Source organism: Homo sapiens, chromosome 10, assembly GCF_000001405.40.
Source record: "Homo sapiens chromosome 10, GRCh38.p14 Primary Assembly".
NCBI lineage: Eukaryota > Metazoa > Chordata > Mammalia > Primates > Hominidae > Homo > Homo sapiens.
This window is the reverse complement of record NC_000010.11, coordinates 46,332,447-46,357,957: the sequence shown is the minus strand read 5'-3', so window position 1 is coordinate 46,357,957 and position 25,511 is coordinate 46,332,447. Positions and strand designations below refer to the sequence as shown.

The 25,511-nt window shown below is 41.0% G+C and overlaps 1 pseudogene across 1 annotated transcript; it reads right to left on the bottom strand.

Moving 5' to 3' along the window:
- Positions 1–93: 93 nt before the first annotated feature.
- Positions 94–20,697, bottom strand: AGAP14P (ArfGAP with GTPase domain, ankyrin repeat and PH domain 14, pseudogene; annotated as a pseudogene). Its single transcript, NR_165820.1, has 8 exons — positions 20,512–20,697; positions 20,074–20,142; positions 17,702–17,770; positions 15,018–15,052; positions 7,340–7,440; positions 4,717–4,752; positions 1,365–1,415; positions 94–719 (listed from the first exon to the last, which is right to left on the bottom strand). The product of NR_165820.1 is annotated as an ArfGAP with GTPase domain, ankyrin repeat and PH domain 14, pseudogene (transcript).
- Between the last annotated feature and the right edge of the window lie 4,814 nt (positions 20,698–25,511).

Below are 25,511 nucleotides of genomic sequence, written 5' to 3'. Positions count from 1 at the left end.
ACCCAGGCATCCCGCTCCTCATATGTCGTGGCTTCAAAGTGCCACGTTTGGCCAGTGGCAGACACAATCATAAAGTTGTTGGTGCTTTTCTTCTTTAGGTGTTTCTTTTTATTGGCATGAGGAGAAGGGGGCAGGTTGAGCTTGGGGCTGGTGGTGCTGGAGATACTGGGGCTGAAGCATATGGAGTCACCCAGCCCGGTGTCCATGTCCTTGGATAGGCCATTGCTTTTAGAGCTGGAGATGGGTGCAGAGGCCGATGTGGCTAGGGATGGCCACTTTCCTGGGACTTTGATGGTAGATGTCCGAAGGTCAATCTCTTTTTTATGAATATTCTTCATATAATCACCTAAGCTTGAATAATAGGTGAGCACGCCATTGGAACACAGGGTGACGTATTTCTTTTTCCATGTCTTCAGCCATTTCCCACTTCGCTTTAAGAGCATGCCCTGTTTAATGGGGATGGCTCTGCTGCTCCCGATGGTGTCAGCATGATTCTCCGGGGCTTTCCTCTCTTTGTCTGGGTGACTCCCTTTCTCAGATGTAAACAGGTTGGACCAGCACATGGACCGCTTGCAAACGGGGGTGGGTGTGTTGGCAGTGGGAGGAACACTGAACTGAGGGTCCTCCTGGCTGGTGCTGGGAGTCGATGGAATGGAGGAGGAATAGTTATTTAAACTCCCACCTCCATTTCTGTTCTTCGTAATGTGCACGGTGGAAACCTGTGTGGAACAGAAGGAGGAATGGCTTCAAAAATTGGGTAGTGGCTTGCAGGGTCCTATAGACAGCTCACAATTACCTTTTAAAAAGATACATTTTCTGGGCCAGGCATGGTGGCTCACACCTGTAATCACAGCACTTTGGGAGGCCAAGGTGGGTGGATCACGAGGTCAGGAGTTCAAGACCATCCTGGCCAACATGGTGAAACCCTGTCTTTACAAAAAAAAGAAAAAAGAAAAAAAAATTAGCTGGGCATGGTGGCACATGCCTGTAATTCCAGTTACTCGGGAGGCTGAGGCAGGAGAATTGCTTGAACAGGGACCTGGGAGGCAGAGCCTGCAGTGAGCCAAGATCGCGCGATTGCACTCCAGCCTGGGCTACAGAAAGAGAGTCCATCAAAAAAAAAAAAAAAAAAAAAAAAAAAAGATACATTTTCTGTTGTTTGGATAGTATATTTACTCATACTAGCTCACTAACTAAACAGAGCTGCAGATCAGTTCTTACTCCAGCACATTCTTTTTACAACACTTAAGATGACTAAATGCAACATGAAATGGGGAAGATTTAAAAAAAGATGGCTTTGACTTCAGCATGAAACAGATACAAGTGTACAATGAAAATACAACCTCAATAAAAGTGCCACTTACCGCAAATGAGTTAACTGTTCATCAGGTATGCTCAAAGATCTATCTGCATCTCTATAAAATAAGAAAGCGCGTTACTTCAAAAACTGTTAATATCTTAGTATAATATTTGTTGAGTAAAATACTTCCTCCTGTGTGCTTTGGTGTTTACTTTACCAAAGCAGTTTTTACGAATTCTTCTCCTGGATCCTGACTTGCAGAGGGTTTCCTGACTTCTTCTTTCTCAGTACATCATGGCCTGTACCGTGAAGCCTTTTATATGATAACCAGTCAGAAATGCCCATGAGTATTGACTCTCCCTAACAGGCCATGGCAATAAACCAAACATATTTTCACTCTTCTAACCACACATTGAAACACAAGAATGTTCTACAAAGCAGTAGTAGTAAACTTTAATAAATGTAAATGTGATTCAGATTTCCTAGCTTCCTTTCTCTTTAGTTCTCTGTAGTATACTCTCATGATGTTTTTATGTATTTTCTGTTGTCTGAATGACAAACTCACCTGCCTTTTTAAGAGGCCAGTCTTTGATGAACTTTAAACTTTGTAAAACTAATGCATTGTGCCTGTGTATAAACCAGTGGTTCTCCAAATGTGCTGTGTGGACCTCTCGGGATCCCGAAGACCCCTTCCAGAAGGCCTAAGAGGTCATAACTGTTCTTTTTTTTTTTTTTTTTTTTTTTTTTTTTTGAGACCAAGTTTTACTCTTGTTGCCCAGGCTGGAGTGCAATGGTGTGATTTCGGCTCATGGCAACCTTCGCCTCCCAGGTTCAAGTGATTCTCCTACCCCAGCCTCCCAAGTAGCAGGGATTACAGGCACCTGTCACCACTCCTGGCTAAGTTTTGTATTTTTAGTAGAGATGTGGTTTCACCATGTTGGCCAGGCTGGTCTTGAACTCCTAACCTCAGGCGATCCACTTGCCTCGGCCTCCCAAAGTGCTGGGATTACAGGCCTGAGCCACTGTGCCTGGCCAACACTGTTCTGAATCATACTAATTAAACCTGAGAAAGCTGATGAAAAATTTTAAAAATTTGTGAAAGTCATTGCCTGCTTTTTCGTTGACACTTGCCATGATTGTATAAAAGCAAAAGTAGGTACAATGGCTGGTTTCTCAGCATAAATCAAGGCAGTGGTACCAATTACATTAGTAGTCATTCTATTCTTCACTGTCCCCTACAGGTAAAAAACATAGCCTGAATTTCTTAAGAACGTCTTTGATGAAGCAATAAAAATTAATGTTGTTAAATCTTGACATGTCTCTAATATTCTGAATAAGTGGAAAGTTAATGAGAAGTGCTTTTTTGTTTGTTTTTAAAGAATCCGTGATTTAACTGTGAACTGAAAAATCACTTTTTTCACAGAACATCATTTTTATTTAAAAGTACAACTGGGCCAGCGCAGTGGCTCACGCCTGTAAAATCCCAGCACTTTGAGAGGCCAAAGCAGGCAGATGGCCTGAGCTCCTTCAGGAGTTCGGGACCAGCCTAGGCAACATAACGAAACCGTGTCTCTATCAAACATATAAGAAAATTAGCCTGGCGTGGTGCCACACATCTGTGGTCCCAGCTACACAGGAGCCTGAGGTGAGAGGATTGCTTGAGCTGAGATCATGCCAATGCACTCCAGCCAAGTGACAGAGTGAAACTCGGTCTAAAAAACCAGTTCAACTATCATTCTCAAAAATAAATGAAGTGAGAGGTTGTCACTTCAAGGGAAATACGTATTTGTTCCCAATGATAAAATTTAAGCTTTCCTCTGGACTTTGAAAAACTTGTTCCTTCTACTGTAGGCTTGGCAGCTTTTCAATACTTAAAGGCGTGTTAAAGTAAGATTGGTGGTTAAACTAAAAGTGATTTTTGACACAATAAAACATAAACCAATATATTCCAAGTAACTAATGCATGATATTATAAATGCAAGTATGGAGCAAAAGATCCATTTACTGTGCAAGAAAGATCAATGAGTACTGATGGAATAAATTTATTAATATGTAAAATGCCACCGTAACTAATTTAAGAAACCACCACTTGTGAAGTTTTGATTTAGTGTTTTAACAAATACCCACAACTGTCTGAAAACTTTAAAAATACATCTTCTACCAACTACATATTTGCATGAGGTTAGGTCATCTTATTGCTTCTTTTTCTCTTTTTTTGAGACGGAGTCTCTCTCTGTCACACAGGCTGGGGTGCAATGGCGAGAACTCGGCTCACTGCAACCTCCACCTCCCAGGCTCAAGCGATTCTCCTGCCTCAGCCTCCCAAGTAACTGGGACTACAGGCATGCACTACCATGCCCAGCCACTTTTTGTACTTTCAGTAGAGGCGGGTTTTACCATGTTGGTCGGGCTGGTCTCAAACTCCTGACCTCAAGTGATCCACCCACCTCGGCCTCCCAAAATGCTGGGATTACAGGTGTGAACCACTGCGCCCCACCAGCTTATTGCTTTTTTTGTTTGTTTGTTTAGACAGAGTCTTGCTCTGTCACCCAGGCTGCAGTGCAATGGCACCATCTCAGCTCTCTGCAACCTCCGCCTCCCAAGTTCAAGCGGTTCTCCTGCCTCAGCCTCCAGAATAGGTGGGACTACAGGTGCGTGCCACCATGCCCAGCTAAGTTTTTGTATTTTTAGTAGAGACGGGGTTTCGCCGTGTTAGCCAGGATGGTCTCGATCTCCTGACCTTGTGATCCGCCCACCTCAGCCTCCCAAAGTGCTGGGATTACAGGCGTGAGCCACTGTGCCCAGCCTCATATTGCTTCTTTGAAGCAAATTGCAAAGAAAGCTCTAGAGAATCCATTTGTCTCCTATTAAGCTCAACATGCGAGACTTTAAATAATATAAACAAATGACACACTTTTTACTCAACTTTTTGTTGTAGAAAAGTTTTTTTTCAATGAAAAACTTCTGTTAACAATACTGTTCTCAAGGAATATTTTCTGTTTTTATAACCTGGGTCATGGGTTACTACTGATATCTAGTTGGTAGAGGCCATGAATACTGCTAAACTCTCTGCAATGCACAAGACAGTCCTCACAACAAAGCATTATCTAGCCCATAATATCAACAGTGGTAAGGCTGTGAAATCTAAACTAAAAATAGATTTTGAAAAAATTTCAATTGTATAATTCTACCACACTAAATATCAATATAATCAATATAAACATATACTCTTTGAGATTCTCAATCATTTAAGAATTATGAGAGTCTTAAGGAACAAAGAAAATACAAATAATTTGCTTCGATATTTTAGTAGGCACAATACAGCTTATGATGTCTAGAGCTGTGACCTAACACTGTGCTTGATATCTTGCAAAGTAATTAGCTAGAATAACAAGACAGGTTTCTAAAAAGCTCACCTTTGTGTGATATGATGAGGTATCTCCAAGGTCACACTGTGGAAGGAAAAAAAATTCATAACAATAGATGTTATCATTTGTTAGGCCTGAAGACATTTTTTAAAAGGGGGGCAGAGGAAACTCTCCTAGCGGCCCTGAAATTCAAATCTTCTAGTTCAGAACAGTACCATAAGGGCACTTTGTTTTCATTTCTTTGTTTTTTACAAAAATATGAGAACCAAAATGCAAGGAAATATGCCGTTAGAAGACGCGTTTCTGTTGGTGATTACAATATATAAATAATAACAGATGTCCCTTTTATATGCTTTTCTACCGACGAAACCTTTCATCCCATGCGATTTATTTTATGTATTTATTTATTTTTTGACCCAGAGTCTGTCTCTCTTGCTCAGACTGGACTGCAGTGGTGCCATCTTGACTCCTCACAACCTCCACCACCCAGGTTCAAGCGATTCTCACGCCTCAGCCTCCCAAGAAGCTGGGACTACAAGTTTGCGCCACTATGCCCAGATAATTTTTTTTTGGGGGGGAGGGTGGGTGGAGTTTCGCTCTTGTTGCCCAGGCTGGAGTGCAATGGTGTGATCTCGGCTCACCACAACCTCTGCCTCCCGGGTTCAAGAGATTCTCCTGCCTCAGCCTCCCAAGTGGCTGGGATTACAGGCATGTACCACCACGCCCAGCTAATTTTGTAGAGTGAGGCTCAAAACAACTGAGGGAAGGTAAATCTCAATTCTACTAATAGGTCTACACAATATCAGCACTTTTTAAAAAGCCTGTAACATTAGCATGTGAGATGGATATGTCTATAGTGCTTCAAGTAGTTTTCATCTCTGAAATAATTTTAAAATCACAGAATTTAAAGTTACATGCTGGAAAGGACCAATGACCTTATGTGACATTTAATTCAACACTCGTTTTACAGATCAGGGAAACAAACCTTAAAACTGACTTGCCCAAGGTCCCACCAAATAGGAGCAGTTTCTCGTCCTAAACTCAAATTAAGCAGTGGCTCTCAAACTTTGCTGCACATTAAAATCGCCTGAGAAGCTTTAATATCTGCCTCATCTTCCACATGAGACATTTTAATTTAATTAGTATTGGGTATGGCTTTGGGCATCAAGGTTCTTGGTAAACGTTTCCCAGGTGATTTCAATCAGCAGCAAAGTTTGGAATGATTGAGCTGGGGTGAAAATCAGAATCTTCTGGGATGCTTTTCTTCACAGAAAGATGCCTCACATCCATCCCGATTTTCCTAAAAGGCTTCTCAGTGCCTAGAGATAGAGGGAAAGTGGAGATGGGAAGATACATGTATTTGCAGACTTGCATTTTGAAAAAAACCTTGCATAAGTGATCTCAGCGAGTTCCACCTATCCCACTGACAACAGTGCACTACTGATTCATGATAAAACATTTTTCAAAATATCTTCTTGAAGCCAATTTGCCCTATTAATTTGTTCAATAACTTTATTTCACCAATAGTGAATACACCAAATGATCATTTCTCAAACTTGCTGGTGGCAAATTAAAACTTACTATACTCTCAAAAGTAGACTTCTAAAAAGTAGAATAATGAGGAAAAAAGCACGAAATTAGTTTCAGCAAAATTAATCTTCAAAGCTGCTTTTGAATTATATGCTAACTTATCAAAATCTTTGGAACTCAGAAGAAGCCAGGGACTCTAGTCAAAGTAATTTTTGTGTATGTGTGCTCAGAGATTTAAGAGACTTGGCTGACTACAGACATTTAGTGATTACTCAATAGGTCCCAAAGCTCAGGACTTGAGACAGAGTTTGAGTTCAGTTTTTGTTTGAAACACAATTTCCTCTCAACTATTGTTAAAAGGGAGGGAGGAAAGTGACATTATTATGAGTGTAAACTTGCCACTTTTAATTGAAGTAAAAGTTATTGACAATTGAATTAGCTAAAAAGGCTAGTGCATTTGAAACAAAATTGTTTATAAGCTAGTTATGTTTACAGAATGAAAAGTTAAATTAAAGATAAAGACATTAATATTCTAAATTAGCACTTTCCAAACTGTGTTCTAAAAATCAAGACTAATAACCCAAGGAGATGAGAATAATGTACACTGGACGGCCCCTGTGGAGCTGGTGGTGGTGTTGGTTGTTGTTCCTTTTAAAATAAACTTCATCTCAGGGTGCTCTCAAAGCGCATCTTTGTGGCCCATGAGGTGCTCATGCACAATGGGAGAAATTCAAATGCAGATACACTGTGGTGCCAGAAGAAGAAAAGCTGTTCCTTCTTCCAAGGATAATGTCCAAAGTAGTGCACACTGATTTGGGCCTATGATGCATTGAAAAACTAAGTTTCCACAAAAAACATTCAAGAAAGGGAACCTATCCTTCTCACTGTGTTCAACATTGTCTAAAGGCATAAAGGCATCAAAAAGATACACTGTTTCTGGGTTTGCTTCTTTGCTAACTGATTTTTCCTTCCACCACGACGTCTAAGATTAAAAGAGAAACTGATACTTAATATTGAGAATCTGGATATCAATATATGGTTGACTCCAATTTCTTAAGCTGATTGCTGAAGAGGACAACCAAATGGCTGAAATAATTTCCGAATAAAGGAATCTGTCCCTCGGCAGCATAGTTGTACTCACGATATTATTGTCATTGTAAGATAATGCTGGCTGGCTGTGCTGTCATCAAGGAATATTGTCGAACACGAGCTGTATTGTTGACTGAAACGCTCAGTAGATACCTGAAGGGGAAGGGAAGTGTAAGTCAAACTTATCAAAGTGTATTTTTTTCTCAGTTAAAATGTCAAATGACAAAGCACTAAGATATGTCTTACACTCCATGAACTGCCTGAGTGTGGTATCATGTGCACTCTATAGAAAACCCATTGGAGGCTCTCAACTTCCAGAGATGATGTTTAAGATATGGGTTATAAAATGCTGCCCTTAATATGGTACCTGTCATCAAACCTAACAAGGATTTTATGAATTACCGTTAAAAATAATGGGAAAAGTCGGCTTCGCCGGGCGCGGTGGCTCACACCTGTAATCCTAGCACTTTGGGAGGTGGAGGCGGGCAGATCACGAGGTCAAGAGATCGAGACCATCCTGGCTAACATGGTGAAACCCCGTCTCTACTAAAAATACAAAAAATTAGCCGGGCGTGGTAGCAGGCCCCTGTAGTCCCAGCTACTCGAGAGGCTGAAACAGGAGAATGGGGTGAACCCAGGAGGCAGAGCTTACAGTGAGCCGAGTTCGCGCCACTGCACTCCAGGCCGGGAGACAAAGTGAGACTCCGTCTCAAAAAAAAAAAAAAAAAAAGAAAGAAAAGTTTAAAATGAGATTTCATATTTTTTTCTACAGCAATAAAAAGCAGCCAAGAATTTCTATTAATTTATTTATTTATTTATTTATTTATTTATTTATTTTTGAGACGGAGTCTCGCTCTGTAGCCCAGGCTGGAGTGCAGTGGCGCGATCTCGGCTCACTGCAAGCTCCGCCTCCCGGGTTCACGCCATTCTCCTGACTCAGCCTCCTGAGTAGCTGGGACTACAGGCGCCCGCCACCATGCCCGGCTAACTTTTTGTATTTTTAGTAGAGACGGGGTTTCACCGTGTTAGCCAGGATGGCCTCGATCTCCTCACCTCGCGATCTGCCTGCCTCAGCCTCCCAAAGTACTGGGATTACAGGCGTGAGCCACGGCGCCCAGCCCTTCTATTATTTATTTACTACGATAAAATGTAGTGTATTAAATAATCCTGCTACAAGAGCATTTTATTGCAGTGAATACAAGACTAATGCATTTACTAAATTACTAATCCTAAATGTATTATTTCAGGTGATATTGTTACAAAAGAAGTGCTTCAGATTCAGGGGCTCTGTGTGCCAGGGCTGCTAGGCCACCAACAAGTGAGGAAGCCATAGGTTTCTCTAGTCCTATTTTCTTATGTGGAGGATAAAAAGAGTATCACTTAAATATTCTCTCACACCCTAAAAACAAATGACAACTTAAAAAATCTAACTTTCACTTCATGTTTAAATAAGACTGCCAAGACATGACTCAAATGAGACTCTCGGAGAATACTTTGCATTCACTTCAAAACTTGATCAATTGCATTCTATAAATCATCTGACCTGCACCTAGCCATTTTCCTGCTCTACCCCTGCTCTCTGCCTAGAATACTGCTTTTCTCTTTCCTTGCTTCAGCAAGCTCGACTCCATCTACCCTCTTGGATCTCTTTGTCGGCAGCCACACCAAAAAATGTATTTTTATACACTAATTAGTTGAATTCACCACTGCTTACAAGATGCTAATTCCTGCAGAGTATTCCCCTCATGAGAAAGTATGCCTCTCCATAAGAGTAAGGGAGGGCCCTTACTCTTCCTACCTCCAGCTGCTGAGCATAGAATTTTGAGTAAATCCAAAACTTCGACAAGTGTTTGACAATTCAGTCATCATTTGGAAGGTAAGTCTTACTACATTTAATTACAGCAAAAACACTACTAACAGTTTACTCTTTATAGGTATTATTTAAGGTAGTCACAAAATAGAAACAAACAATCTAACGTCAGTCAGCATAAATGAGAGTATGAAATTTTACAATATTTAACAAGAAATGGAAGGGGTTACTTAGTAGTTTTAAGGTTTAATGACAAAAACTAGAAAATAATCGTACCTAGTAATTTAGTAAGTCAAAACCAAAGCCTTACCATCAAAGGTGCAGTACCCATTGGATGCGTATGCCCACGCACTGACTTCTGCTGTACCTGCTGCCTCTCATTTTAACCCATTAAAAATACTAAAGTTGTTTTCCTTGTAGACATCTTTCACCTCCTTGGTTAGGTCTATTCCGAAGTATTTTAGTTTATTTTAGTTTATTTTTGCAGCTATCAGAAAAGGGATTGAGTTCTTGGTTTGATTCTAAGCTTGGTCACTTCTGGGGTATAACAGAGCTACTGATTTGTGTACATTAATTTTGTCTCCTGAAACTTTGCTGAATTCATTTATCGGTTCTAGGAGCTTTTTGGAGGAGTCTTTAGGGTTTCCTAGGTATATGATCATATCATCATCAAACAGCAACAGTTTGACTTCCTCTTTACTGATCTGCATGCCTTTTATTGTTTTCTCTTGTGTGATTGCTCTGGCTAGGCCTTCCAGTAGTATGTTGAATACAAGTGGTGAGAGTGGGCATCCTTGTCTTGTTCCAGTTCTCGGGGGGAATGCTTTCAACTTTTCCCCCTTTCAGTATTATGTTGGTTGTGGGTTTGACATAGATGGCTTTTATTACATTGAGCTATGACCCTTGTATGCTGATTTTGCTGAGGGTTTTAATCATAAAAGGATGCTGCATTTTGTCAAATGCTTTTTCTGCATCTGTTAAGATGATCATGTGATTTTTTGTTTTTAATTCTGTTTATGTGGTGTATCACATTTATTGACTTGTGTATGTTAATCCATCCCCGCATCCCTGGTATGAAACCCATTTGATCATGGTGGATTATCTTTTTTTTATTTTTTGAGATGGAGTCTCGCTCTGTTGCCCAGGCTGGAATATGCAGTGCGGTGATCTTGGCTCACTGCAACCTCTGCCTCCGAGGTTCAAGCGATTCTCCTGCCTCAGCCACCCGAGTAGATGGGATTACAGGTGAGCGCCACCACGCCCGGATAACTTTTGTATTTTTAGTAGAGATGGGGTTTCACCATGTTGGCCAGGCTGGTCTCGAACTCCTGACCTCATGATCCGTCCGCCTCATCCTCCCAAAGTGCTGGGATTACAGGTGTGAGCCACCGTGCCTGGCCCGATTATCTTTTTGATATGCCGTTGGGAACTACAAAACATTGCTGAATGAAGTCATGGACACAGACAAATGGAAAGACACCCCATGCTCATGAATGGGTAGAATGAATATTGTGAAAATGACCATACTGCCAAAAGCAATCTACAAATTCAATGCAACTCCCATCAAAATACCACCATCCTTCTTCACAGAACTAGAAAAAACAATCCTGAAATTTATATGGACTAAACAAGAACCGGCACAGCCAAAACAAAACTAAGCAAAAACAACAAATCTGGAGGCATGACATTACCTGATTTCAAACTATACTATAAGGCCATAGTCACCAAAATAGCACAGTACTGATATAAAAATAGGCACATACACCAATGGAACAGAATAGAGAACCCAGAAATAAACTCAAATACCTATAGCCAACTGATTTTCAACAAAGCCACCTAAAACATAAAGTGAAGAAAGTAAACCCTATTCAACAAATGGTGCTGGGATAATTGGCAAGCCACATGCGGGAGAATGAAACTGGATCCTCAACTCTCAGCTTACACAAAAATCAACTCAAGATGGATCAAGGACATAAATCTATGACCTGAAACCATAAAAGTTCTAGAAGATAACATTGGAAAAACCCGTCTAGATACTGGCTTGGGCAAAGACTTCATGACCAAGAACACAAAAGCAAATGCAACAGAAACAAATAGGTGAGACTTAACTAAAGAGCTTCTGCACAGGAAAAGGAACAATCAGCAGAGTATACAGACAACCACAGAGTGGGAGGAAATCTTCACAGTCTATACATCTGACAAAGGGCTATTATCCAGAATCTATGAGGAACTCAAACAAATTACAATTACAAAAATATGGAACCAGCCCAAATGCCCATCAGTCAATGAGCGGATAAAGAAACTGTGATATACATACATATATATATATATATATATATATATATATATATATATATATATGAGGAATACCACCTCAGCCATAATAAGGAATAAATTCATGGCATTCCCAGCAACCTGGGTGGAAGTAAGACTATTATTCTAAGTGAAATAACTCAGCATGGAAAACCAAATATCATGTTCTCTTTCATACGTGGGAGCTGAGCTATGAGGATGCAAAGCCATAAGAATGATACAATGGACTTTGGGGACTTGGGGGAAAGGCTGGGAGGAGGGTGAGGGATAAAAGACTACAAATTGGCTTCAGCGGATACTGCTCAGGTGATGGGTGCACCTAAATCTCACAAATCATCACTAAAGAACTTAGTCATGTCACCAAATGCCACCTGTTCCCCCAGAAACCTATGGAAATAATAAATAAATAAATAAAGTACAGCATTTTTCTCAGCAAACATAAAAAAAAAACAAAGACTAAAGTTCATATTTTTCACTCTCCTTTTGGGCAGGACAAATTTTAGATAGGTTTTTAAAGAATTAGTAACTTTTTTCCTTTTTCCGAGACAGGGTCTCCCTTTGTTGCCCAGGCTGGAGTGCAGTGGTGCAATTATAGTTAACTGCAGCCTCAAACTCCTGAGCTCAGGTGATCCTCTGCCTCAGCCTCCTGAGTAGGTAATACGAAAGGCGCATGCCACCAGGCCTGGCTAATTTGTTATTTAACCTTTTTGTAGACATGAGGTCTTGCTATGTTGACCAGGCTAAAAATGAACAAATCTTAATTAACTTAAATATTTCTAACACCTTGGGCATTCAGGAAAACAGCTCCATTTATGTTGTGAAGTAATGGGAAGCATATGGCAGTGGATAAACTTTGAATGAAAATATTAAACAAGGCCTTAGGAGAAAAGTGTAATATGCTTATTATAGATACATTAATTTAAAAAATTCTCTGGCTTAATATCATTATACTCAAATTAGACTTTGATTTAAACATAGGTCCTAAATTTGGATTAAATATAATAGATTGACCACAAATTTATTTCGTCTCCCTCTGGAAGCCTCATTAGTCATAAAATAAAGGTTACACCCATGACCAGCACAGAAGGTTGACAGAGATAATTTTTAGTAAATGCTGAGACATAAAAAGTAGACAAAGGAGTGGTAAATAACACAGAAACACAACTTTGCTGACTACAGAAAGTGACTGGAACAGAAGCGAGCCAGTTTGTCTTGCAGAACTAAAGGCAGGTTGTGAACTTACAGGCAAATGGCACTTTGGAAAGTAGGGTAAAATGTAAAAAAAAAAAAAAGCCAGCAAGGTCAGTTGCAAATCTCTAACTAGAGCCCAAAGTCCACCTGTCCTTCCATCTGACAAGAAACTTAGATGTGTGTTCTCTGGATATATCAAACCTGAGAATTTCTGGCTCAGAGATACTATGGCTTAAACCTGAGATATAAAGAAAACTGTACACCAAAAATGGAACTCCAACTGTCTTTGCTAACTCTGCTTTTCCTTTCCAGGCCTGCTTTTACTTTCCAGGCAGAAAATTGGGAGATCCTTCTCAGAAGAAACTGAAATGTCTTCAATAAAGATCCCCAGATAATACACTGAGGTCTCCCAAATGAAAAGCTAGTCAGGCTTCTAAGGCCTCACACTGAGTGCTATCAGTTAACAGAAATCCTGCTTCCAAATAAAGCAGGCCAGGGACCACCACACATTGGAGGGAAGCCTCCAAGGAAAGAGATCAAAACAATAGAAAAAAGGAATTGATAGGACCAGTCAAAATCAGGAGCAAAACTTTAAAAAAAAATCTTAAAACACTCTCAAAAAATACAAAATTCAATAGAAATAGTAGAGGATAAAGTCACAGAATATCCCAGAACTAGAATAAAAAGACAAACTGAAAAAAATAGAAGGGGAAAAATTAAAAATCAATGCAGGTGTACTGGTCTAAGCAGCCTAGCATCTGAATAACAAGACTATCAGTAAAAAAGTAACAGAGAAAATAAAAAAAAAATTCTCAAGAAGAGATAGTCTGCAGGTTTAGTAGCCTCAATAAAATGAAAAGATCCCCAACAAGCTGTTATAAAATTTCAGAACCTTAGAGAGAGAGATTCTAAAAAGCTTCCGCAGATAACTAAAACCTGGTTGTAAATAACATATCACACACTGGCAATAGATTCAAGAACAACACTGTAATAAGAGCACAACTGCAAAATGTCTTCAGAACCATACAATTTAGATTCAACCTAGAGGTGTACTCTCTATCAAAGAGGAGGGATTTTAACATCTCCACCCAGGAAAATGTGTTCAAGTACAACTAGAGACGATAACAGGACAGAAGGAAACACAGAATCTAGGACTCAGGCGATCCCACACAAGACAGCAGTTACGTGAGATCCCAAAAGACTTTAAGGAGTTAGCCCAGAAAAGCAGACATCGAGCATATCTAGGGAAACCCACGCTATATTGAACTAGGATGACAAAAGGCCAAAGAAAGTTGCCCCCCACACACACATAAAAAGGAACAGATGTGTTTTTGCAGATGGAAAATGTCTTTGAAAGGCATGTGATAAATGCTACAATACTTGGGGGAAAAACAGCTGTTAGAAAATAGGCAAATGAATATAGTCAGAAAATTAGCTTCATGCTAAAAAATAATGGATGTGAAAGCAAACAGAGCACCCAGAGGCTACTTAACGATATTTGGATAGATAAACTAACGTAGGCTAGGAAAAAAGAAGATCCAGGAGAATTGCAGAAGTGCTCAGATTTCAGAACTGTTTCAGAGACAGGATGAAGGACATGGAATGCAGAGGCACAGTGAAAACACCATATGACTTAGCAGTGAATAATATTTGCAGAGTCATAATCATGTAAATATTACTGATTTAATTAAAAAGTGTGCTACAATTGGAAGAAACACAGGGAGAAACATAAGATCATGGTGTAGCGGGGAAGGTACGCTTTTACCTGCTGTGATAGAAAGTCAATAGACAGTGCTGGCAATTAACTTAACTATTCTATTTTTGTTCTTTCATTAAAAATAAGATTAAATATTTAAGGCACTTTTTTTTTTTTTTTTTTTTTTTGAGACAGAGTTTCGCTCTGTCGCCCAGGCTGGAGTGCAATGGCGCGATCTTGTCTCACTGCAACCTCCGCCTCCTGGGTTCAAGTGATTCTTCTGCCTCAGCCTCCTGACTAGCTGAGATTACAGGCATGCACCACCACACCCGGCTACTTTTGTATTTTTAGTAGATACAGAATTTCACCATGTTGGTCAGGGTTGTCTCAAACTCCTGACCTCAGATGATCAGCCTGCCTTGGCCTCCTAAAGTGCTGTGATTACAGACGTTAGCCACCATGCCCAGCCTTAAGGCGGATCTTTTGAACCAGACTATTGAAATTTAACTTAAATGTCAGAAATCTTTAAAAGGTGGACACGCTAAGCTAAACACTTTTCTGGATAAATTTAATACTCAGGAAAATAGAAGAGATTTAGAAAATCCACAAAAAGAGGTCCATGCTACCACCACCAGGTCCACATTGTAATTTAAAGAAATCAAGAGAGACATCCTTTTATGTCAAACTATCAATTTCTTAACTATTTGAGTGTTTACTTACATGGTTTGTACAGTTGCTTCTTCTTATTTCTACAACTAAGAATAAAAAAAAAAAAACTGGTCACTTCTGATACAAATACCATAAAATAAAAGTAGTTGTTAACATCTTACTGATTACTCCTATGTAAAATGAGACAAAATTCCATTTAAAAAAATAATTTTCAATAATTTATAATTTAAATTATCTGGCATGATTAATTTCATAAGTCAAATCTAAAAACTTAGTTTTTCATTTAGTTTACTTTTTGTTTCTATTACATACAAATGAAAGAATCCTCATGTACAAAAGAAAAGGGTAAAAAAATTAGGCCAGATGAAAAATTTAGCTAATAAAAAGTTTAACTGTTGCATATATGAGCCATGATCCATTAGTATTCTCTCATTCTGCATTTACACATAGCTTACTTTAATTATCAGACTCTAAGAGCTAACAGCTCTAAGAACTACTTCCTGACCAGACACCTATCTCTAGATGCAACAGAATCCCTGTAAGCATCTTGAACCACACTTAGTGGTTATCTACTAATATGTCACTAAAAACAAATCAAAATTAAAAAACGGTCTTTACACAACTGGAAAGTAACGTAGCTTAATTTTTTTTTTTTTGAGATGGAGTCTCACTCTGTCACCTAGGCTCGAGTGCAGTGGCGGGATCTCAGCTCACTGCAACCTCTGCCTCCCAGGTTCAACCAATTCTTCAGCCTTAGCCTCCTGACTAGCTGGGACTACAGGCACGTGCCACCATGCCTAGCTAATGGTTTTTTGTATTTTTAGTAGAGACAGAGTTACACTGTGTTAGCCAGGATGGTCTTGACCTCCTAACCTCGTGATCCACCCACCTCAGCCTCCCAAAGAGCTGGGATTACAGGTGTAAGCCACAGAGCCTGGCCTAAATTTTGATGTTAAAATGAGTATACAAACCTAATTGGACATGGTGTCTGCAGCTCAAAAAATCATTTTTTTTCCTCTAAAAAGAGGCCAGAATAATAAAAGCCCCAAGAGGGACTTGGGCCATGCTTTGTTTCCTACACTGCCTCTGCCTTTGATGCTGGAAGGGCCTTGTAGGCAAAAGTTCCTACCACCGAAGAGTGAGGGACATGGAATAGCTTTTCTTTTACTGCTTCCATGCTCTCTAGGTGTGAGAAGCCCATGGCTCTGGAAGGAACTGGGAAATACAATTCTGATATGTTTTGGATATGTTGCCCCTCCAAGTCTCATGTTAACATGTGACCCTTAATGTTGGAGACAGGGCCTAGTGGGAGGCGTTTGGGTAATGGCAGTGGATTCCTTATGAATGGCTTGGTCCCATCCCCATGATAATAAGCACATTCTCATTATGGTAATTTAAAAGACTGTGGTACTGGCCAGGTGCGGTGGCTGAAGCCTGTAATCCCAGCACTTTGGGAGGCTGAAGCGGGTAGATCACTTGAGGTCAGGAGTTTCAGACCAGCCTGGCTAACATGGTGAAACCCTGTCTCTACCAAAAATACAGAAATTAGCCAGGTGTTATGGTGCCCACCTATAGTCCCAACTACTCGGGAGGCTGAGGCAGGAGAATTGCTTGAACCTGGGAGATGGAGGTTGTAGTGAGCCAAGATTGTGCCATTGCACTCCAGTCTGGGCAACAGAGTGAGACTCCATTTCAAAAAAAAAAAAAAAAAAAAGAGTGTGGTACCTTCCCCCTTCCCCTCTCTCCTCCCTCTTTCACCGTGTGGAACCACCTGCTTCCCCTTTGCCTTTTATCATGATTGTAAGTTTGCTGAGGCCCTCACCAGAAGCAGATGTTAAAGCCATGTTTGTACAGCCTGAAAATCTTTGAGCCAATTAAACCTCTTTTTTGTTATAAATTACCCAGCCTTAGGTATCTCTTTATAGTAATGTAAAAAATGAAGACAAATTCTAACCAGAAATAACTGACTCAAGATGGGCAAAGTCTACTCAAACTATAAAAACAAAGGTTACAAACTCCCGTGTTTTACTGTGCTGCATTACTTCGCACATTATTATAGAACCCTCACTTGTGTTCTTGCTGTTTAAGTCAACTGGAAAACTTGGCTGTGTATGGCTTGTTGGCAAATAAATGAGGATTTAATATAACATTAAGGGAAATAAGCAGGAGTAAGGCATGTTTAAATTTACATTATATCAAATGAAAAAGTTAATAACCTAAAACTTTTGAGTAGCGTAAACTTGGATGTGGTAAATGAATGTGGTCAGAGGACTGTGTAAGAGGAGGCCCAAATCACAGATTCAATCCCTGATGATAAACGACTATGTTTTTTAATTTGTTTAAATGAAAACCAAGCTGAAGCCTAAGTTCTATCATTCATCTTTAAAGTGTACTTTTTGGAGCAAGGGAAAAGGGATTATAAATAAAGATAAATCCATTAATTATAAATAAAGATAAATCCAAGAATTATAAAGACAAATCCATGACTCCTCCAACACATGACAAATTAATTGTGTTGATAAAAAGATGGCAAAATGTATAAACAAAAAGGTTACACGTTTTCACTAACATCATAACAACTAAAGGAAAGTATATCACATATTAAAATAAGACAAGTGAACATGTGAAAAGGTGAAAAATTTAAACCAATATGAGTTTTTCTAAATACTTTCTATAACCTGATCAAACAAGAGCTTTTATTCTTTCTCTTGGCGGAAAAAACAATGTTGTCTCACCATCTGTTTGAGAGTTCCTCTGGAATATTGTGCTTGCCTCTGGATTGGCAGAAGGGTTAAACTCCAAAGCTATATGCATAGAGGAAGAAAAGAAAAAGAGATGCAATCATTGATAAAAATTTATCAACTCGTTTATTCGACTGCTGCATTTAGGCTATTTCACTATCTCTACTTTGATTCTTATCCATTGAAATGAATGTATAGACATAAGATAGAGCCAGGCAAGATGGCACATGCTTGTAGTTCCAGCTACTCAGGAGGCTGAGATGGGAAAATCACTTGAACCCAGGTCAGGAAGTTGAGGCCAGCATGAGTAACACAATGACACCCTCCTTTATTTAAAAAAAAAAAAAAAAAAAAAAAAAAAAGAAGAGGTAAATTTTGGCTTTGAGTTGTGTAAAATCAACTTTGCATAAAATAAATCAAGATGGCAGTAAGTTTTAAAAGACAGTCTATTTTATAGGCAAAATATAAGTTGTATTCTAGAGTTTTTAAAATTTTTAAAAAGTAAATTCATCATATCTGTCACTTCCATTTCATTCTGAGGACACAGAACCTTAGTTCTCTTGAGTAGCTGTCTTCCATAGTCATGTGATATCTCTAAGTTTTCATTTCTTCATTAGCAATACATAGGGAGAACATACACAGGCCTTATTTGTATTGGAAAGGGCCAAGTGAGACATACATAAACTGTGCTGTAATCCTAAAGAATGACAATAAAGAGCCATTTTTGGGCTCTCATCCAACACTACCCATCTACTAACTGGTGTGTAACATCCATCAGGCTTTCCGAACATCACCAAGCAGAGTATAAGTTTACACAAGTACTTACATGCTTTGTGTATAAAGGTACAATCAATTAATTCACATAATGCATTTGTTTATTCTAAAGCAATCCTTAAATACCTTGAAATGTGAAGATAGTACTTCCAAGTTACAAAGTCACACTCATAATGAGTCTTAATTATCCTACCTCTTTAAAAATTAAGAGCCCGACCAAAGTTTAAATAGAAGAGCTATAAGACATTTCCTCTACAGTAATGAAATCTCTGGCATTTAAATGAAACCAATAAGCCTACTGGATTTAATATGTTTATGATGCAATGTTTTCTATTTTGAAAATTTCAGTTTTTATTCAAGAACCATATTACTACCCAGAATTACTTTTACTTAGATTCATCTCTTTGCAAAATTTTAGAGGCAAACCAACTAATTGTTTTCTCTTTTCTACCGGCTCCCATCCCCTGCCTCTGCCGACAGTGTAGAGACTAAAAAACTCCAACTTTCTTTCCTTTTTTTTTTGTGAGACGGAGTCTTGCTCTGTCACCCAGACTGGAGTGCATTGGCGTGATCTCTGCTCACTGCAACCTCCACCTCCCAGGTCCAAGCAATTCTCCTGCCTCAGCCTTGTGAGTAGCTGGAACTACAGTCATGCGCCACTACGCCCAGCTAATTTTTGTATTTTCTTTTTTAGTAGAGACAGCGTTTCACCATCTTGGCCAGGCTGGTCTCGAACTCCTGACCTCAGGTAATCTGCCTGCCACGGCCTCCCAAAGTGCTGGGATTACAGGCGTGAGCCACCAAGCCCAGCCAAAACTGTAACTTTCTTATCTTTGAACAAGATGCTATTGTCAGGAGGGGAAGGGACAAAGGGGGAGCCACGGCAACAAACACTCTTACAGGGAAGGTCTGACATTTTAACCTGCAATCTTTATATTACACATTAAAAGTCTACATTGACGTTTCATGTCTTTTGAAAGTTTTGACCGTGAACCAATCCCCACCTCCCTTTTAGAACAAGGAGGTAAATAAAGTCTGTTAAGTCACCAGAATAAATCTGGAGACACATTTTCTGTTAAAGTAAGAATTTTAAAGTAATCAGAGCCTCATAGGTAAACTCCTTTGAGAAACCCCAAACACACACACACAACCATTTTTCTGCAGCCCCGGCTGTGACATTTTACACCTTTCACAATTATTTTAAGCACTCTCCTTTTTTCTTTTTCCTTCTGTGTTCAAATTACAGTTAGAAGAAACTAAGCAGCTTCTATCAAGGTGACTTAAAGCAGCCCATTAAGAATACCATATAGCCTCTCCCGTGGCAAACTCCATTCTGATTTTAAATAAGAAATCCCCAAATATTTGAATAGGAACTGTCCTGAGATTTGGCTACTTTAACAAAGGAAACAATTAGGCACTTACCTGGTTCCTTCACTTAGGTACCATCTGGATAGGTTCAAAGAAAAATTAAGATGGGTACTGAAAAGTTGGGATATTTGAGTTTTTATTGAGAAAAGGAAGAGAATAGCTCAAAGAGGCCTAAACAAAGTCCCACAGGATAATAAACAGAGCTACAGACACTGTTGTCTCACCATCTGTTTGAGAGTTCCTCTGTAATATTGTGCTTGCCTCTGGATTGGCAGAAAGGTTAAACTCCAAAGCTATATGTATAGAGGGAGAAAAGAAAAAGGACGTAATCATTTATAAAAATTTATCAACTCATTTATTCAACTGCTGCTTATTCGACAAGAGCCATAAATAAATGGTCCCATGCCAGCCTGGGAGAATGAGGTGAGAGAGCAAGAACTGGGCGATTGGGAGGGGAGGCGAAAAGAAACTGACTGGACTCGGTGGGGAAAGACTAAGGGGTGGGAATTCAAGGCAGAGCCAGCTTTTGTTCCTGGCCAGCCCCCGGGAAAGCTGGCTACAAGCAGAAAGGAGCTCGAAGTGGGGGATGCCTCAAAGGGAACCTTGGGGACAGCAGCAGCCAGAGGCAAACCGAGGGTAGATGGCACCTATCACCTCCTTACCTTCAGGCATCTCCCGGTCACGAACGTGGTGCATGTGGAGGTCCTCACCAACTTCAACAGTCACCTCAGCAGGCTGTACAGCAGCAGCCATGGGCGCTCCTGCCATCCTGTCCTCAGCTCCTGCCTCATAGATCTCAGATTCAGAGGGACACACCGACCCCTGCTGCTGGTCAAACTCGAGGCTGACGCTAGGGTGCACACGACAGGTCAGTATGTTCCCCATGGGGCGCCTCTACTGTCTGCCACCACCTGTGCCTCTGCTCACAGCTTTGGCCACGCACTCCCGCTGTCCTAGGCCGAGGCTATGCTGCACTTGCAGAGATGGTCTTCCCGCTCCTCGCCTGCCCACCTCACAGTGCGGCCCCAGGCACCAGCCCTGGCCCCGGCCCCGGCCCCGGCCCCGGCTAGGGCTGCGGGCCAAGGCCCGCACCCTGCTGCCTCCCCTGAGTTGACTTGTCTGGGAGGGTGAAGACCAGCCGGCTTATTTATTAGGTTGTGAACCCAACAAGCGCTGAGAGACACAACAACTGCCTGAAGAGAGAACAGACGGAGCTCCTCCTCCTTCTGTAGTCACCTACAGACTGAAGCCCACTGGCCCCAGGTGGGAGCCCAGGCATGTGGCACACAATGCCCCACCCCACACTTCACAATGCCCTCCCCGACAGCTCACAGTGCCCCACCCTGCCTGCCACCCCTCCCCAACAGCTCAGAATGCCCCTGCCTTGGCTGCCCCACCCTGTGGCTTATGATGCTGCTGCTCTCCTGGCCCCTCGTGCAGTGCCAGTGGGACTAAGGTTTTCATTCATCACCAGCTTCCTGAGATTTTAGTCCTAAGAAAAGCACAGGGTAGTTCATTCCTCGAAGCCAGCTTCCTCTACGAGTTCTACACAAAGCCTCAGTAGAGTGGGTCCCATTAGCAACCAAGTTGAACAACTTTTATTTGCTGTCTGAATATAGATACACCTGAATTGTTGACTGCTTTTGTAACTAAACACTCCTCTCCTGTCTTCCAACGAGTGGTCATTTTTGTCCGCAACTTGACCACAGCAATCCCTGGGGCCCTAGCTCTACTCTCAATAAAGAGTTATGGCTGTGTGTTTTGAATGACACCTTAGGACCCATCCTGCCTCCACCTCCTTCTCCATAAAATAGAAACCTAACTTGCCCCTCCAAGCTCTGAAATGCTGAAACTTACCAACTCCCTTTTCTCCCCGCTGTTTCTTCCTTCTGTGGCAGGGACTTTCAGATTTTCTTTCTTTTACTAACAAGGCACTAAGCATGATTTTCTCATACAAAATCGAGAGCCATAAAGTGGCTTACCACAGTCCTAGTTCAATAAAGATGAATACTCGACATCTGGCAAGTAGTGTGTGCCTGACAGTGTCCCCACTGTGCTATGCTCATTTAACCCTCAGAAACAATCTCATGTTACAGATTTTACAGAAGTTGTTGAGACGGAGAAGGTAAGTAACCCCCCCCCCCAAGGTCACATGACTGCTAAGGGTGGGGCCATAGTTTGATCCCAGGTAGTCTGAATTCCCCAATTGCTTAAGCATGAGTATCAGAAAGTATAGCAGTCTGTTTTCACACTGATATAAAGAAATACCTGAGGTTGGGTAATTTTTAAAGGAAAGAGGTTTAATTGACTCAGTTTCACATGGCTGGGGAGGCCTCAGGAAACTTAACAATCATGGCAGAGGGGGAAGTCCTTCAGGAAAGTTACAATCATGGCAGAAGGGCAGGTCCGACTTACATGGTGGCCGCACAGAGAGTGGGAACATGTGAAGGAGCAACTGTCAAACATGTATAAAACCATCAGATCTCAGCTGGGCACGGTGGCTCACACTTGTAACCCTAGTACTTTGGGAGGCCAAGGCAGGTGGATCAACTGAGGTCAGGAGTTTGAGACCAGCCTAGCTAATGTAGTGAAATCCTGTCTCTACTAAAAATACAAAAATTAGCTGGGTGTGGTGGTGCATGCCTGTAATCCCAGCTACTCAGGAGGCTGAGGCAGGAGAATCACTGGAACTCAAGAGGCAGAGACTGCAGTGAGCCAAGATCGTGCCATGGCACTCCTGCCTGGACAACAGAGCAAGACTCCATCCCAAGAAACAAAACAAAACAAAACCCTATAAGATCTCATGAGGACTTACTGAATATCACAAGAACAGCATGAGGATAACTGCCCCTGTGATCCAATCACCTCCCCCTAGGCCCCTCCCTCGACACATCGGGATTATGGGGATTATAATTCATGATGAGATTTGGGTGGGGGCATGGCAAAACCATATCAGAAAGTAAAGGTAGAAGTCAGGCTTGGATGGGAAATGACATTGTAGATTATTATTATTTATTATTATTATTATTATTATTATTATTATTATTATTTTGAGATGAAGTTTTGCTCTTGTTGCCCAGTGAAATTGTTTCTCTAATTTCATTTTCAGATTGTGTCTTGTAGATGTATAGAAATACAATTGATAAATGATTCTGGCTATTAACCTTTTATGCTTCAACCTTGCTGAACACTATTTTTTTTTTTTTTTTTTTGAGACGGAGTTTCGTTCTTGTTGCCCAGGCTGGAGTGCAATGGCCTGATCTTGGCTCACTGCAACCTCCGCCTCCCGGGCTCAAGCGATTCTCCTGCCTCAGCCTCCCGAGTAGCTGGGATTGCAGGCATGCGTCACCATGCCCGGCTAATTTTGTATTTTTAGTAGAGACGGGGTTTCTCCATGTTGGTCAGGCCCGCCTCAGCCTCCCAAAGTGCTAGGACTACAGGAATGAGCCATCGTGCCCAGCCAGATTCGTATATTTTTAAAAGAATTTTTTTTACTTTTTATTTTTTTTTTGAGACAGAGTCTCACTCTGTTGCCCAGGTAGTGGCACAATCATTGCTCACTGCAACCTCCACCTCCTGGGTCCAAGTGATTCTCATTCAAGTGCCTAAGCCTCCCAAGTAGCTGGGATTACAGGATCCCGCCCCCATGCTCAGCTAATGTTTGTATTTTTAGTAGAGATGGGGTTTCACCATGTTGCTCAGGTTGATCTCGAACTCCTGACCTCAGGTGATCCACCTGCCTTGGCCTCCCAAAGTGCTGGGATTGCAGGCGTGAGCCACCACTCCCGAACAGAACAACATTTTTTTGATGTGGATTTTAAAATGCCTCCCCTTCTTTCAACATTGATTAAGTCCCTTCTACATGCCAGGCACTATATGTGTGAAATAGTCCCAACTCTCAATGAGTGTAGGCAGATACACAAACAAAGGCTTAAGGAGGTCAGTTTTCTGAGACCATACTGCTGGACAGTATATGAACCTGGGATACAAACCCACCTCTATTTGACCTCAAATTTGATGCTGGGGTGGTTTTAATTTTATTCTGGGAATTTCAGTCATTCAACCATAAAAAGGTGAAAAGTCTCTGTCAGATGTGCGTGTAGTGGTCTGTATAATAAAGACTGAAGGAAGCAACCCAACCAATTAAGAGACTTTCTCTAAAGGCAGAGTAATGCTAAGGGCAGTGGCAGTGACAAAAGTGGAGGAAAAAGTCTGTGATCATTTGGGAGACAGAATAGGAAGTGCTTGGTCATGAGATGTGAAAGAAGAGGGGAAGTAGAAGGAAAACAGAGCTGCTCAGGCTCTGCTGGGGAAGACTGGGTATGTAGCAGTGCCTTCCTCCTGGCCGAGAATGTAGGAAGAGAAATAGGTAAGGAGGAAAAGATAGTTTTTTACTCTCAGTGTCACATTAAAATGGAACTCTCTGGTCAAAAGTTGAATATAAATCTCTGTAGGCTAAGTCCATTTGTGACATCCCAACATATGTTTTCAAAAATAACATACACACTAAATCAAGCCATTAAGCGTAACTGGGGAAATTTCCTAAAATTTACATGCTAAAAAATCACCATTTTTCATTTATTACTTTCATGGAGCAACTTTGAATCTATGGTTACAGCAGGTGAGGCACCTTGTATAAAATAAAGCTAATACATGAAATAAAACCATTTAAAATTCTATTGTTCTCAGAGAATGGAGAAAGCAATTGAAGCCATGGGTGTGGAGGTGACTGCCTTGAGAAGCTGTGTATAGTAAGGAGAACTGGGAAGAAAGAAGACCTGGAGAATAGGGTGATTTGCACGGCATTAAGTGAAGCTTGCAAAAGTGAGCACTGGGAGTCAAGAGACATGTATGAATCAGAAATGGCTGCTCCTGTGAGTTGTTAGAAAGGAGATGATGCCTTCTTTTCATATCTATAACAGTAGCACCTAGCACAGTGCCTGTTCAATAGGTACTCGACATGTATTATCCCAATGCAGAGTCAAATTTTGCCAGGAAGGCAGGAAAGCTACAAATTAGCTATGGCAACTTAGTGATTGGGCTTGGGTGTGTGTGTGAGCGAGCTGGATGTCAGGCAGTGGGCAAAGTAGTGAACTGGAGGTGAGAAAACAATGACACAAACTCAGGGCTTCTCTTCCCAAGTATTTGGCTGAGAAGAGAGATGTAGTATTAAAGGGAGATATGTGGTAAAGGAAGCCTTTTATTTCAAGATTCAACAAAAGCGTGAGTATACTTCTATGTTAAAGGGAAAGAGCCAACAGAGAAAACACATTTTTGAGGTTAGAAGAGAAGGAAGAACTAATGCAGAAAGGCCCCAAAAGGCACAGGTGCGTGCAATCCGGATCAGGGACAGATTAGCTTTGGATTCCTACAAAAGCAAGAAGGGAGAAAGGACCATATGACACTAGAGCTATTTCTGCTATCACTGTCCAACACAGAAAGCCTGTGAGGGTCCCTGTGGGTGGCCAGGGCAGTGGAGTCCTCCTCTGTGATGACTTCTGAGCTCACCTTCTTAATATATGACTTCCTCCCTTGAGGGATGAGGAAGGATGACAGGCCCTAGCTTGAGTTCATATTGGCTAAACTCCAAAGGCTCTCAATCCCCCTTAACAAACAAGTATGTTGATTTCCCCAGGATCACATAAAGCTCTTCATGAAATTG